Genomic DNA, 15,534 nt, shown 5'->3' with positions numbered 1-15,534 from the left:
TCAGGTCATAACCATTATAATGGGAATGCATATCAAAACCTTAATGAGATATCACTTTATACCCAGTAGGATGCCTAGAATCAAAAAGTCATATAATAACAATGTTGGAGAAGATATGGAGGAATCGGAATGCTCATATACTGCTGGTAGGGATGCAAAATGATGTAGCCTTTGGAAAACAATCTGAAAGTTCTTCAAACAGTTAAACTTAGGGTTACCATATGACCCAGTAGTTCTACTTATCGATATATACCCAAGAGGAATGAAATCATATGTCTACATAAAAACTTTTCCATCAGCTAATTAATGGATACATAAAAATGTGTTGTGTCTATATAGTGGGATAATATTCATCTATAAAAGGAAATAATCTCAGCACTTCGGAAGGCCAAGGAGTTGCAGATCATCCTGGGCAACATGGGGAAACCCCATTTCTACAAAAACAATTAGCTGGATGGAGTGGTGCACGCCTATAGTCCCAGTTACTCAGGAGGCTGAGGTAGGAGGATGGCTTGAGCCCAGGAGGTGGAGGCTGCAGTGAGCTGAAATCGTGCCACTGCACTCTAGCCTGGGAAACAGAGCCAGACTCTGTCTCAAAACCAAAAACAGGAATAAAGTACTGATAAATGCTACAATGTGGATGAACTTTGAAAACATTACACTAAGTGAAATAAGCTGATCACAAGGGCCTCGTGTTATATATGATTCCATCTATATGAATTGTCTAAAACTGGAAAATCTATAGAGACAGAAAGTAGATTAGTAGCTGCTTAGGGATATGGAAACTGGTGGACAGGCAGAAGATAGCTAAAGTACATGGGTTATCTTTTTGTGGTGATTGAAAGGTTCTAAAATTGACTGCAGATATGGTTATGCATACCTCTGTATATAATAAAAAATAATTGAATTTTATACTTGGATAAATTTTATGGTATGTGAATTATACTCAAGAAAGCTGTTAAATTTGAGATATATACATAGAAAGAAATATATAAATATCATATTACAGTGGGGTGTTAGTTCCCTGAAAGGATACTAGTCAGATTGGACTAGGGCTCACCCTAACAGCCTCAGTGGGGCTGCTGTAAAAAAGTTTCAGAGATCTTGGTGTATTAAAACACCACAAAATTAATTTCTTACAGTTTTGGAGGAGAGGAGTCTGGATCAGTTTCACTGGTATAAAATAAAGGTGCTGGCAGGGCCACGTTCTTCCTGGAAGCCTTAGGACAGAATTTGTTCCCTTGTCTTTTCCAGTTTCTAGAGGCCACCAGTACTCTTTGCTTTTGGCCCATTTCTCCATCTGCAAAATGCATCACTCCAATCTCTGCTTCGGTCAGCACATCACCTTCTCTCTTATGAGAACCCTTGTGATTACACTGGGCTTGCCTGGATAACCAAGGATAATCACCCCATCTCAAAATCCTTACCTTAATCGCACCTTGAAAAGTCCCTTTTAACAAACAAATTAACATTCACAGGTTCCAGGAATTAGATATCTTTGAGGGGCCATTACACAGTTCATCACAACTAGAAGGTAAATTGGAAATGAAATGGACATTCATTGTAAATGTTGCATCTAGGAGTAGAAACTCTGAATAGACTAATAATCCTTGAAAAAACTGAAAATAAAGAATTGCTTCCTTCAAATCCTTTGGGTCTAGGTGGTTCTACAGGAGAGGTCAGCATTTTGTGAAGATCTTTTCTGCATGCATTACAAAAGGACTCTCTAAAAATTTTTACCAAAGACTGTATAAGGTATTGTTAACTTTCTATCCACATATCTAATTTCCTACCGGATATCTCTTTTCTATAAAGATGTCTCACAAACACCTCAAGCTCAACATAGCCAAGGCTGAATTCAACCTCTACCTCCACAACTAGTTCCTTCATATGTGGTGTCTTATATATTTTTGAAAGTGTATATATTTAAAAACCTATCTGGCTTAAGCCAAAAAACAACTTATTAGTGCACATAAAAGAAAAGGTGCAGGGGGTGGGGCCAAGATGACTGACTAGAAACAGCTGTGGTCAGAGGCTCCCACTGAGAAGAATGAAAACAGCGAGTGAATCCTGCACTGACAACTGACGTATCCAGGTTCTCTCACTGGGACTGACTAGGTGATTGGTGTGACCCAAAGAGAGCAAGAAAAAGCAGGGTGGTACGATGGGCCACCTGGGAGCCACCCAGGGCAAGGAGAGCTCCCACCCCCAGCCAAGGGAAGCGGTGACTGAGTGTGCTAACCTGCCCAGGAAACTATGCTTTTTCCACAGATCCGTTCAACCCACTGATCAAGAGACCCCCTCGTGAGCCCATGCCACCAGGCTCTTGGGTCCCAAGCAGAGAGCTGTAAAGATTCTCAGCAGCCACTCTGCTAGAGACTGCCTAAGACTACTGAACTCCTGAGGGGAAGGGTGGACACCATCACTGCAATTGTCTGCTGCCTAAGATGACTAAGACAATGGAGCTCCAGGCAAGAGAGGCGGCAGCCATCACTGCAGCTCTAGTCTGCCTGTTTCCCCTGCTGGACTCAGGAAGACTGGGAGGTTCGAACCTAGGGAAAATTCCCCACAGCACAGCACAGCACAGTGGCTGTGGCAGATTGTGGCCAGACTGCCTCTTTAGGCTGGACCCTGACCCATCCCTCCTCACTGGGCAGGGCCTCCCTAAAGGAATTTTAGCAACTCCAGCCAGCGGTTTACAGACAGAACTCTAATCTCCCTGGAATGGAGCCTGTATTAGTCTGTTCTCATGCTGCTGATAAAGACATACCCAAGACTGGGCAATTTACAAAAGAAAGAGGTTTAATGGACTTACAGTTCCACATGGCTGGGGAGGCTTCAGAATCATGGCAGAAGGCAAGGAGGACCAACTCACGTCTTAACATGGATGGCAACAGGCAAAGAAAGAGAGCTTGTTCAGGGAAATTCCCATTTTTAAAACCATCAGATCTCATGAGACGTATTCACTGTCATGAGAACAGCATGGGGAAAGACTCATCTCCATGATTCAATTACCTCCCACTGGGTCCCTCCCAGATCATACGGGAATTCAAGATGATATGTGGGTGGGTACACAACCAAACCATATCATTCTGCCCCTGGACCCTCCCAAATCACATGTCCTCCCATTTCAAAAACAATCATGCCTTCCCAACAGTCCCTCAAAGTCTTAACTCATTTCAGCATTAACTTAAAAGTCCACAGTCCAAAGTCTCATCTGAGACAAGGCAAATGCCTTCCACCTATGAGCCTGTAAAATCAAAAACAAGTTAGTTACTTCCTAGATACAATGGGGGTACAGGCATTGGGTTAATATGGCCATTCCAAATAGGAGAAATTGGCCAGAACAAAGGGGCTACAAGCCCCATGCAAGTCCAAAACCCAGTGGAGCAGTCAAATTGTAAAGCTCCAAAATGATCTCCTTTGACTCCATGTCTCACATCCAGGTCACGCTGATGCAAGAGGTGGGTTCCTATGGTCTTGGGTGGCTTCACCCCTGTGGTTTTGAAGGGTACAGCCTCCCTCCCAGCTGCGTTCACGGGCTGGCATTGAGGGTCTGCAGCTTTTCCAGGCACATGGTGCAAGCTGTCAGTGGATCTGCCATTCTGGGGTCTGGAGGATTGTGGCCCTCTTCTCACAGCTCCACTAGGCAGTGTCTCAGCAGGGACTCTGTATGGGGGCTCCAATCCATACGTTTTCCTTCCACACTGCCCTAGCAGAGGTTCTCCATGAGGACCCCACCCCTGCAGCAAACTTCTGCCTGGGCATCCAGGCATTTTCATACAACTTCTGAAATCTAGGCAGAGGTTCCCAAACCCTAATTCTTGACATCTGTGCACTCACAGGCTCAACACTACATAGAAGCTGCCAAGGCTTGGGGCTTGCACCCTCTAAAGCTATGGCCCAAACTCTACATTGGCCCCTTTCAGCCATGGCTGGAGCATCTGGAACACAGGGCAACCAGTCTCTAGGCTGCACGCAGCATTGGAACCCTTGGCCCGGCCCATGAAATCACTTGTTCCTCCTAGGCCTCTGGGCCTATGATGCAAGGGGCTGCTGTGAAGACCTCTGACATGCCCTGGAGGTATTTTCCCCACAGTCTTGGGGATTAACACTTGGCTCCTCGTTACTTATGCAAATTTCTGCAGCCAGCTTGAATTTCTTCTTAGGAAATGGGATTTTCTTTTCAATCACATTGTCAGGCTGCAAATTTTCTGAACTGTTATGTTCTGCTTCCCTTATTAAACTGAATGACTTTAACACACCCAAGTCACCTCTTGAATGCTTTGCTGCTTATAAATTTCTTCCACCAGATACCCCAAATCATCTCTCTCAGTTCAAAGTTCCACAAATCTCTAGGGCAGGGACAAAATGCCGCCAGTCTCTTTGCTAAAACATAACAAGAGTCACTTTGCTCCAGTCCCAACAAGTTCCTTATCTCCATCTGAGACCACCTCAGCCTAGATCTCATTGTCCATATCATTATCAGCATTTTTGTCAAAGCCATTCAACATATCTCTAAGGAGTTCCAAACTTTCCCACATTGTCTTGTGTTCTTCTGAACCCTCCAAACTGTTCCAACCTCTGCCTGTTATATAGTTCCAAAGTCGCTTCCACAGTTTCAGGTATCTTTTCAGTAGTGCCCCACTCTACTGGTCCCAATTTACTGTATTAGTCTGTTCTCATACTGCTGATAAAGACACACCCAAGACTGAGCAATTTACAAACAAAAGTTTAAGGGACTTACATTTCCACATGCCTGGGGAGGCCTCACAGTCATGGCAGAAGGCAAGGAGGAGCAAGTCACATTTTACATGGATGGCAGAAGGCAAAGAAAGAGAGCTTGTTCAGAGAAACTCCCATTTTTAAAACCATCAGATCTCATGAGACTTATTCACTATCATGAGAAAGACTTATTCACAGCACGGGGAAAGACTTGCCCCCCATGATTCAATTACCTCCCACTGGGTTCATCCCACAACACATGGGAATTCAAGATAAGATTTGGGTGAAGACACAGCCAAACCATGTCAGAGTCCCTGAGGGAAGGGGAAACCATGGTCTCCACAGATCAGCCAACTTAGTCTTTCCCCCGCCGGCTCTGAGGAATCTGGGCAGTCCGGTGACTGGGATTCCCCCCAGCACAGCGCACCCCCTCTGCCAAGGGGCAGCCAGAGTGCTTTATTAAGTGGGTCCCTGAACCCATGCCTCCTGACTGGGTGAGACCCCCCAACGGGGGTCTCCAGACACCTTATACAGGAGTGTGTTCCCAATGGCATCATGTTGGTGCCCCTCTGGGACTGATCTCCTAGAGGAAGGAGCAGGCAGCCATCTTTGCTGTTCTGCAGCTTCCACTGGTGATACCTCCAGGTGTGGGAGGGACCCAGGTAAATAGGGTCTGGAGAGGATCCCCAGCAAATTGCAGCAGCCCTACAAAAGAGGGGCCTGGCTCTCAAAAGAAAAACAGAAAGCAACAACAACAACAGCATTAACAAAACAGTCCCCACCAAAACCCCACCCAAAGGTCAGCAGCCTCAAAGATCAAGCTGGATAAACTCACAAAGATGAGAATCAATGAAAAAATATGCTGAAAACTCAAAAAAGCCAGAGTGCCTCTTCTCCTCCAAATGATTGGAACACCTCTCCAGCAAGGACACAGAACTGGGCGGAGGCTGAGATGGATGAATTGACAGAAAAAGGCTTCAAACGGTGGGTAATACTCAAAAGAAGACATTTATGCAGCCAAAAGACACAAGAGAAAATGCTCATCATCACTGGCCATCAGAGAAATGCAAATCAAAACCACGATGAGATACCATCTCACACCAGTTAGAATGGCAATCATTAAAAAGTCAGGAAACAAAAGGTGCTGGAGAGGATGTGGAGAAATAGGAACACTTTTACACTGTTGGTGGGACTGTAAACTAGTTCAACCATTGTGGAAATCAGTGTGGCGATTCCTCAGGGATCTAGAACTAGAAATACCATTTGACCCAGCCATCCCATTACTGGGTATATACCCAAAGGATTATAAATCATACTGCTATAAAGACACACGCACACATATGTCTATTGCGACACTATTCACAATAGCAAAGACTTGGAACCAACCCAAATGTCCAACAATGATAGACTGGATTAAGAAAATGTGGCACATATACACCATGGAATACTATGCAGCCATAAAAATGATGAGTTCATGTCCTTTGTAGGGACATGGATGAAGCTGGAAACCGTCATTCTCAGCAAACTATCGCAAGGCCAAAAAACTAAACACCACATGTTCTCACTCATAGGTGGGAACTGAACAATCAGAACACATGGACACAGTAAGGGGAACATCGCACACCAGGGCCTGTTGTGGGGTTGGGGAAGCGGGGAGGGATAGCATTAGGAGATATACCTAATATTAAATGACGAGTTAATGGGTGCAGCACACCAACATGGCACATGTATACATATGTAACAAAACTGCATGTTGTGCACATGTACCCTAAAACTTAAAGTATAATAATAAAAAAAAAGGTGGGTAATAATGAACTTTTCTGATCCAAAGCAGTGTGTTCTAACCCAATGCAAGAAGCTGAGAACCATGATAAAACATTACAGGAGCTGTTATCCAGAATAACCAGTCTAGAGAGGAACATAAATGACCTGATGAAGCTGAAGAACACAACACAAGAACTTCACAATGCAACCACAAGTATCAATAGCCAAATGGACCAAGTGGAGGAAAGAATTTCAAAGCTTGAAGACAATTTTGCTGAAATAAGACAGGCGGACAAGTTTGGAGAAAAAAGAATGAAAAGGAACAAACAAAACCTCCGAGAACTATGGGGTTATGTAAGAAGACCAAACCTACAACTGATTGGGGTACATGAAAGAGACAGGGAGAATGGAACCAAGTTGGAAAACATACTTCAGGATCTCATCCAGGAGAACTTCCCCAACCTAGCAAGACAGGTCAACATTCAAATTCAGGAAATCCAGAGAACTCCAGTAAGATACTCCATGAGAAGATCAACCCCAAAACACATAATCATCAGAATCTCCAAGGTCAAAATGAAGGAAAAAATGTTAAGGGCAGCAAGAGAGAAAGGTCAGGTCACCTACAAAGAGAACCCCATCAGACTAACAGTGGCCCTCTCAGCAGAAACCCTATAAGCCAGAGGAGATAGGGGGCAATATTCAACATTCTTAAAGGAAGTAATTTCCTACCCAGAATTTCAAATCTGGGCAAACTAAGCTTCATAAGTGAAGGAGAAATAAAATCTCTTTCAGACAGGCAAATGCTGATGGAGTCTGTCACCACCAGGCTGGCCTTGTAAGAGCTCCTAAAGGAAGCACTAAATGTGGAAAGGAAAAAATGGTACCTGCCACTGCAAAAATACACTGAAGTACAAAGGCCAATGACACTGTGAAGCAACTATATCAACAAGCCTACAAAATAATCAGCTAGCATAATGATGGCAGGATCAAATTTATACATAACAATATTAGCCTTAAATGTAAATGGATTAAATTCCCCAATTAAAATACACAGAATAGCAAGCTGGATAAAGAGTCAAGACCCATCAGTGTGCTGTATTGAAAAGACCCATCTCATGTGCAAAGACACACATAGGCTCAAAATAAAGAGATGGAGGAAAATTTACCAAGCAAATGGAAAGCAGAAAAAAGCAGGGGTTGCAATCCTAGTTTCTGACAAAACAGACTTTAAACCAAAAAATATCAAAAAGGACAAAGAGAGCATTACATAATGGTAAAGGGTTCGATTCAACAAGAAGAGTTAACTATCCTAAATATATATGCACCCAATACAGGAGCACCCAGATTCATAACACAAGTTCTTAGAGACCTACAGAGAGACTTAGACTCCCACACAATAATAGTGGGAGACTTTAATACCCCACTGTTAATATTAGACAGATTATTGAGACAGAAAATTACCAAGGATATTGAGGACTTGAACTCAGCTCTGGATCAAATGGAACTGATAGATATCTACAGAAATCTCCACCCAAAAACAACAAATATACATTCTTCTTAGTGCCACATGGCACTTACTCTAAAACTGATCACATAACTGGAAGTAAAACACTCCTCAACAAATGCAAAAGAACTGACATAATAATAAACAGTCTCTCAGACTACAGCAGAATCAAATTAGATCTCAAGATTAAGAAACTCACTGAAAACCACCCAACTACATGGAAATTGAACAACTTGTTCCTGAATGACTCCTGGGTAAATAATGAAATTAAGGCAGAAATCAAGAAGTTATTTGAAACCAATGAGAACAAAGAGACACTGTACCAGAATCTCTGGGATTCAGCTAAAGGAGTATTAAGAGGGAAATTTAGAGCACTAAATGCCCACATTAAAAAAACTACAAAGATCTCAAATTGACACTAACATCACAAGCAAAAGAACTAGAGAACCAAGAGCAAACAAACCCCAAAGCTAGCAGAATAAAATAAATAACCAAGATCAGGGTGGTACAGAAGGGGAGAGAAACATGAAAAACCCTTCAAAAAATTCAATGGATCCAAGAGCTGGTTTTTTTGAAAAAAATTAATAAGATAGACTGCTAGCTAGACTAATAAAGAAGAAAAGATAGAAGAATTAAACAGACACAATAAAAAATGATAAGAGGGATACCACCACTGACCCCACAGAAATACGAACAACCATCAGCGAATACTATAAACACCTATATGCAAATAAACTAGAAAATCTAGAAGAAATTGATAAATTCCTGGACACAAACACCCTCCCAAGACTGAACCAGGAAGAAGTTGAATCCCTGAATAGACCAATAACAAGTTCTGAAACTGAGGCAATAATAAATAGCCTACTAACCAAAAAAATACCCAGAGCCAGACGGATTTACAGCTGAATTCTACCAGAGGTACAAAGAGGAGTTGGTACCATTTCTTCTGAAACTGGAACTCTCACAGACTACCAGTGGGAGAGCTAAATGGTTCCACTACTTTGGGAAAGAATGTGGTAGTTTCTTAAAAAATTAGACATGCAATTATCCTCAGCAAACTAACACAGGAACAGAAAACCAAACACCGCGTGTTCTCACTTATAAGTGAGAGCAGAACAATGAGAACACATGGACACAGGGAGGGGAACAACACACACTGGGGCCTGTCGGGGTGGGGGATCGGGAGAGGGAGAGTATCAGGATAAACAGCTAATGCATGCGGGGCTTAATACCTAGGTGATGGCTTGGTAGGTGCAGCAAATCATCATGGCGCACATTTACCTGTGTAACAAACCTGCACGTCCTGCACATGTATATTGGAACTTAAAATTAAATTAAATTTAAAAAAAGAAAAGAAAAAGCGCAAGGGAGAGGATGACATAGGCATAGCTAGATTCAGTACTTAAAGGGCATTCTCAGAATTTTCTTCTCTCTCTCAGCTCTGCTTTCCACTGCGTTGGCTCCTTTCTCGCAGACATTCCTCTAGTGGGTTCAAGATAACTGCTTCAGCTCCAACAATTCACACTCCCATGCCTTTTTCAACAAGTCCCACCAAAGCTATCAGACTCACTCTAACTGTGTCAGCTTAGTTGCTGTGACCAACCCTGACATGTGGCTGGGAGAATGTGATGCACTAATTGGTCCAATCTGGTTCATGTGCTCCACCCTTGGAGCTGGAGGTGGAATCAACTCCATCTAAGAGCACATGAATTGAGATTGAGCAGGAGTTGCTCCTAGTTGACAATTGAGACATAATTACCAAGGATATATACTGACTAGCCACAACCACTGTCCATTCATTACAGACAATGTTTCCTGTCTCAGTAGATGGCATCAATCACATGCTCAATCTAGAAACCTGGGAATCCATCTTTAGGTCTTCTTTCTCACTCTCACTCCATATCTAGCACTGTATTATTACCAAGTCCTTCTGACTCTTTTCCCATAAACGTCTCTTAGATTTCTCAAGTTCTTTTTCTATTCACCCCTACCACTCTAGTTCCAAGCCTCCAACATCTTTCTCTTGGATGGTGCACTGGCATTTTAACTGATCTTCCTATATCAACTTTTAAACTCACTTTAGTATATTACCTACACTGGAGTTGGAGAGATCTGAAAACTAAAATATGAACATGACACCCTTCTCTTCTACACCTTCAGTGATTGCCTATTCTTCTCAGAATAGAGAGGTTTGTGCACCATCCCCTGTCATGAACTATATAGTGCATTTAACTGAGCCTTGTTAAGTCCTTAAATGTGTCATACTCTCTTTCCCCTGTATCATGGATCCTCTGGCTACCCTGTCTTCTTGAAACTGCATTCCTCCACACCATTCACTATCACATGGCAAGCCCCTACCCATCTGTCTAATCTGTTTGCATTGCTATAAAGGAACACCTGAGACTAGGTAATTTATAAATAAAAGAGGTTTATTTGGTTCATGGTTCTGCAGGCTGTACAAGAAGCATGGCAAGAGCAGCTATGTCTGGGAAGGACATCAGGAAGCTTCCACTCATGGCAGAAGGCAAAGGGAGGAGGCATCACACAGCAAGAGCAGAAGGAAGAGACGGGGTGGGAGGAAGGTGGCACTCTTTTTAACAACCAGATCTCACGGGAATAAGAGTGTGAACTCACTCAGTCTCACAAGAATGACAAAGCCATTCATGAGGGATCCACCTCCATAACCCAAACACCTCCCACTGGACCCCACTTTCAACACTGGGGATCAAATTTCAACATGAGATTTGGAGGGTACAAGCTATATCACCATTCTTCAGATCTCAGCTTAGACACTGCTTAGACCAGAAAAACTTTCCTGATACCCTTAGTCTGGTAAGGGGTCCTCCATTAGGCAATTGTGGCACCCTACACTACCCTATGATAGCAGTTATCATACTGTATTACAATGACCCATGTGTTTGCCTGAATATTTCACCAAACTTTACATTTTATGATAGAAGTAAAGATGAGTACTTGTTCATCGTGGCATCCCCAGCACCCACAGCACAGTTTCAGTGTAACAGGTGCTTAATACTTGTTAAAAATAATAATAGCTAATGTTTACTAAGAGCCTGATATGTACCAGCTACTACTTGAAGTGTTCTACATGTGCTGACTCATTTAATCCACCGACAGTTAATCCACCTTCTGGTTTATAGATGAGAAATCCAAGGCATAGGAGGTTTGAGTGAATTACAAAGGTCATAGCACTGAAGGTTATGGAGCCAAGATTTGAACCTAAGCAGTCTGGTTGCAGAAGCCAAGTTTTTAACCACTATGCTATATTCTTAAATGTACACGAGCATGCAAAAATGCTGTCCTAGATATTTTGAGGAATACAAAAATGACAGGGGAAGTGGAATAAAAAAGTATACAGATACATAAAATACCCAACAGAGAATTATATAATATAAGGCTTTCTCGATTTTAGAACACACAAACAGTAACAAAATCTTTCTGTTTGGTGAGGTGGGATTTGCTCACAGAGAAATATTTCAGTATAAAAATTCCTGAATTCAAATATGTTTGTGATTCAATTATACAGTGGCAGTTGATATTTATGTTGAAAATGAAAAATAAGACCAACAAGTTATTCTGGACACCAAATCATGTTTAAACTGCTACATTTATGTTTTGAAATATTTTTCTATAACTGCTAAACTTTTCAACAGGACCAGCTCTCTGACATTTCTTAAGAATTCCCATACAAAGTCTAGTTTTACCTGCTTAAAAAAAAAAGATATTATGACTGTCTGATACCTGGGTCGATAAGTAATTAAAGTAAAGGAGACTTCCCTCACAATCCCCCAAAATTAAGGTAAAGTTTAGGGAAAATGTTTTATAAGCATAACAAAAGTAGTTATCAATTAATCATTACTTCCTTCATTACAAGAGTACTTAATAAATGCTTTAACTAGTTCTAAGACTGTTCAAGGTAGATATTGGAACACATAGAGAATAAAAGCCTACTTTGCAAATTCAACTGAAAGAAATGCTACTGTTGATATAATTTGTGAGTCTCTGAACCCAGTTTAACGAGGTTGTGGTTAAAGTGATACAGTTTTTAGTGACCAGGAGCATCTTCCAAAAGAAACAGTGACCACTTGCTGATGATGATCAAAAATACTCTTGGTAGAATCTTTCTAACAAGTATAAAATAATATTGCTATTTTATTACATTGATGGAAAATGTTAAATTAATAGAATTGTATGCACATTCATGATAAATATGAGTGAGTTTGACTTTGTCTCTGAAAATTGGGAAGGTGAATGCATTTAGTGATGCTCAAATAACAATACTCTTAGCATAGTGAATGTTAGAATAGTCAGTCTGCAGAGGAAATATGTAGATGCTCATTCTCTAACATGTATTATTTAAATTGGCCTAACCACAAAGAGTGAAGAAAAGCTTACCTTTGTGAATTAATTGATGACCATCTTTGAAGTTATGATCCTCTGAATATAACAAACCATTAAAAACATATTCACTGCAAGTAAACATCCAATTTGGACCTGTTTAGTGAAAGGACAGTTTGAGACAGATAAAAGGCTGGACATTAAGATAATTTTGAAGAAATTTTTATTAAAGGAATAAATTTAACAAAATGTTAGTGAGTAGAGATGCTTAGAATTAAGATTTCATAAAGAATAATAACAAAGACCTATAATTCACTTTTCCATCTTGGAGAAGAGTTTATTCTCAGGTTTAAAATGTCCCAAATATTTTTGTTCTAATAACTATTTCCTTAGGAAACCTTTTGTTTACATGTAGCCCAAAGTTAAAATTTTATTCTTATACAAATGGTTATAAATTCTTAATGGAATTTATCTGCATTTACAAAATTATCATGTGACCATTTCAACATATATAAATGTTATATTTGCAAAATAAGAAACTTATTTTGTGAATGTGATTAGTTCCAGAGAGTCCGAGTATGACTCTCTAAACCAACACTGCAAAATTTCCGTAAAGATTAAAACTCTTCATAGGGAAAGAAGTAATGGCTGAAAAAGAAAGCAAAATAATCAGGAATAAAAATGAAAAATGTAAAATGTTATTTTCTATGAGTGTCAAACTTGAATAATTTATTCATTAGCTTTGTTAGCTGAAGAGAAAGTAATTTTGAGTAGTTACTGTAAAAGGTCAGATGGAAAACAAATTTCCTCTGTGTCAATAGGTTAACAAAATGTTATGCTTGCTGACTGTAGAAAGAGGGCAACTCAGAGAACACTTGACCTGATTAGCTCATCAGCAACCCATTAGGAGGTTTTTCTTGGAAAAGAAATGGGGAACCCATTTGCACTATTTTCATTACCTTCCAGACTTTGTATGCTGTTGTGTAGCAGATGCTTAGCTACTAGTGGGCACTTGATGAGCAATTACTGGAATATCTGAGTTCTGGTTTAAATTTTCAGGAATCCTGATCCTTCCAGGTTCCACAGGAAACTAAAAGGGCAAATATTTCACACAAACGTTACCTTCATGACCAACTTCCATATATACATTCAAAGACATATGGTATACACAAATAAGTGATATATATAAGTACAGTCATGTGCCACATAATGACATTTTGGTCAATGACAAACTGCATATACATTAGTGGTCCCATAAGATTATAACAGAGCTGCTAATACCCCTGAAGGCCTTCCAACGGGACAAGATGTGGAGGTGGAAGACAGCAATATTGATGATCCTTATCTTGTATAGGTCTGTGATGGTTAATACTGAGTGTCAACTTGATTGGGTTGAAGGATGCAAAGTATTGATCCTGAGTGTGTCTGTGAGGGTGTTGTCAAAGGAGATTAACATTTAAGTCAGTGGGCTGGGGAAGGCAAACCCACTCATAATCTGGGTGGACACCATCTAATCAGCTACCACTGAATATAAAGCAGGCAGAATAACGTGAAAAGACTAGACTGGCCTAGCCTCCCAGCCTGTATCTCTCTCCCGTGCTGGATGCTTCCTGCCCTTGAACATTGGACTCCCAAGTTCTTCAGTTTTGGGACTCAGACTGGCTCTTCTTGCTCCTCAGCCTGCAGACGGCGTATTGTGAAACCTTGTGACCTATTGTAGAACCTTGTGATCATGTGAGTTAATACTTAATAAAATTCCCTTTATATATCTCTCTCCTATTAGTTCTGTCCCTCTACAGAACCTGACTAATACAAGGCCTAAACTAATGTGTGTGTTTGTACCATAGTTTTTACCAAAAACTTTAAAAAGTAAAAAATTAAAAATAGAAAAAAGCTTATGAAATAAAGATATAAAGAAAGAAAATATTTTTGTATAGCTGTACAATGTGTATATGTTATGTTTTATGCTAAATGTTATTACAAAAGAATCAAAAAGTTAAAAAATTTTAAAGCTTGTAAAGTAAAAATTTAATAGTAAGCTATGGTTAACTTACTGAATAAAGAAAAGTATTTTTAATAAATTTAGTGTAGCCTAAGTGCACAGTGTTTATAATGTCTACAGTAGTGTACAGTAATGTCCCAGGCCTTCACATTCACTCACTACTCACTTACTGACTCACCCAGAGAAACTTTGAGTCCTGCAAGTTCCATTTATTGTAAGTACCCTATACAGGTGCACCATTTTTGAATCTTTTATACCATATTTTTACTGCACTTCTTCTATGTTTAGATATGTGTAGATACCCAAATACCATTGTGTTACAGACACCTAAAGTATTCAGTACAGTAACATGCTGCACAGGTATGTAGCCTAGGAGCAATAGGCTATACCATATAGCCTAAGTGTGGAGTAGGTTTATGTACACCACACCACACTACACCATCTGGGTTTATGTACATATGGTACACTCTGTGATGTTCACGCAATGATGAAATGGCCTAATGATGCATTTCTCTGAACATATCCCTGTTAAGGGACACATAACTGAATGTATAAGCTTGTACATATCATGTATAACTCATGTTTAGATAAAACAGGTTGGGGAGGAGAAAGAGAGAGAGAGAAAGAGAGAGAGAGAGAATACTGTAAATATTTAAAGTTTGTGCTTACCTGCCCCCAACTTGACTCTGAGCTTCTTAGACGTAGAAGCTTTGCCTCCCAAGTTTCTAACACAGTGTCTGACACATCATAAATGTTCAGTAAGTGTTTTCTGAATGTATTTTTCTATTGACTGGATGTTCACAAGTCCTTTCAAAATAAATGTGGGTTTTTTTAAGTGGTGTCAACAGATATACCTGCATGTTGTCTCAATTTTGTTCATGTATACAGATCTCTCTACTTCTTTTAATAAATAATAATTAATTGGTAGGGCAGAAAATATCTTAACCTCCACATTCCTAAGGTTTGTTTTATGAATTTTGACTTCTGACTTCTTTTTTGGCCAAAATGATTTCTCACATTTATATATAGTGTTAAAAAGTTCTATGTACAAATAAAGAACTAAGATTTAAGTATTTCTTCCTTATTTTTAGGTTTAAAAAGAATTATGTGTTTGAATGGTGCAATTTACCTGCTTTATGTTTTGGCTAATTATTTTCAGTGGAATCTATCATTTAAATTTTAT

The 15,534-nt window shown here is 40.1% G+C and overlaps 1 long non-coding RNA gene across 1 annotated transcript in view; it reads right to left on the bottom strand.

The window, feature by feature from the left end:
• LINC02456 (long intergenic non-protein coding RNA 2456) overlaps positions 1–15,131 on the bottom strand; it is a 432,422-nt gene extending 417,291 nt beyond the window's left edge. Inside the window, exons 1-3 of the long non-coding RNA XR_007063427.1 lie at positions 15,021–15,131; positions 13,309–13,439; positions 12,407–12,505 (exon numbers count right to left, since the gene is read on the bottom strand). This is a non-coding gene — a long non-coding RNA (long intergenic non-protein coding RNA 2456). The remainder of the gene's footprint in view (positions 1–12,406; positions 12,506–13,308; positions 13,440–15,020) is intronic.
• Between the last annotated feature and the right edge of the window lie 403 nt (positions 15,132–15,534).

The sequence above is a fragment of the Homo sapiens genome, chromosome 12, assembly GCF_000001405.40.
Source record: "Homo sapiens chromosome 12, GRCh38.p14 Primary Assembly".
Taxonomy (NCBI): Eukaryota; Metazoa; Chordata; class Mammalia; order Primates; family Hominidae; genus Homo; species Homo sapiens.
The sequence above is the reverse complement of the archived record's forward strand: the minus strand, read 5'-3'. Positions and strand labels throughout refer to the sequence as shown.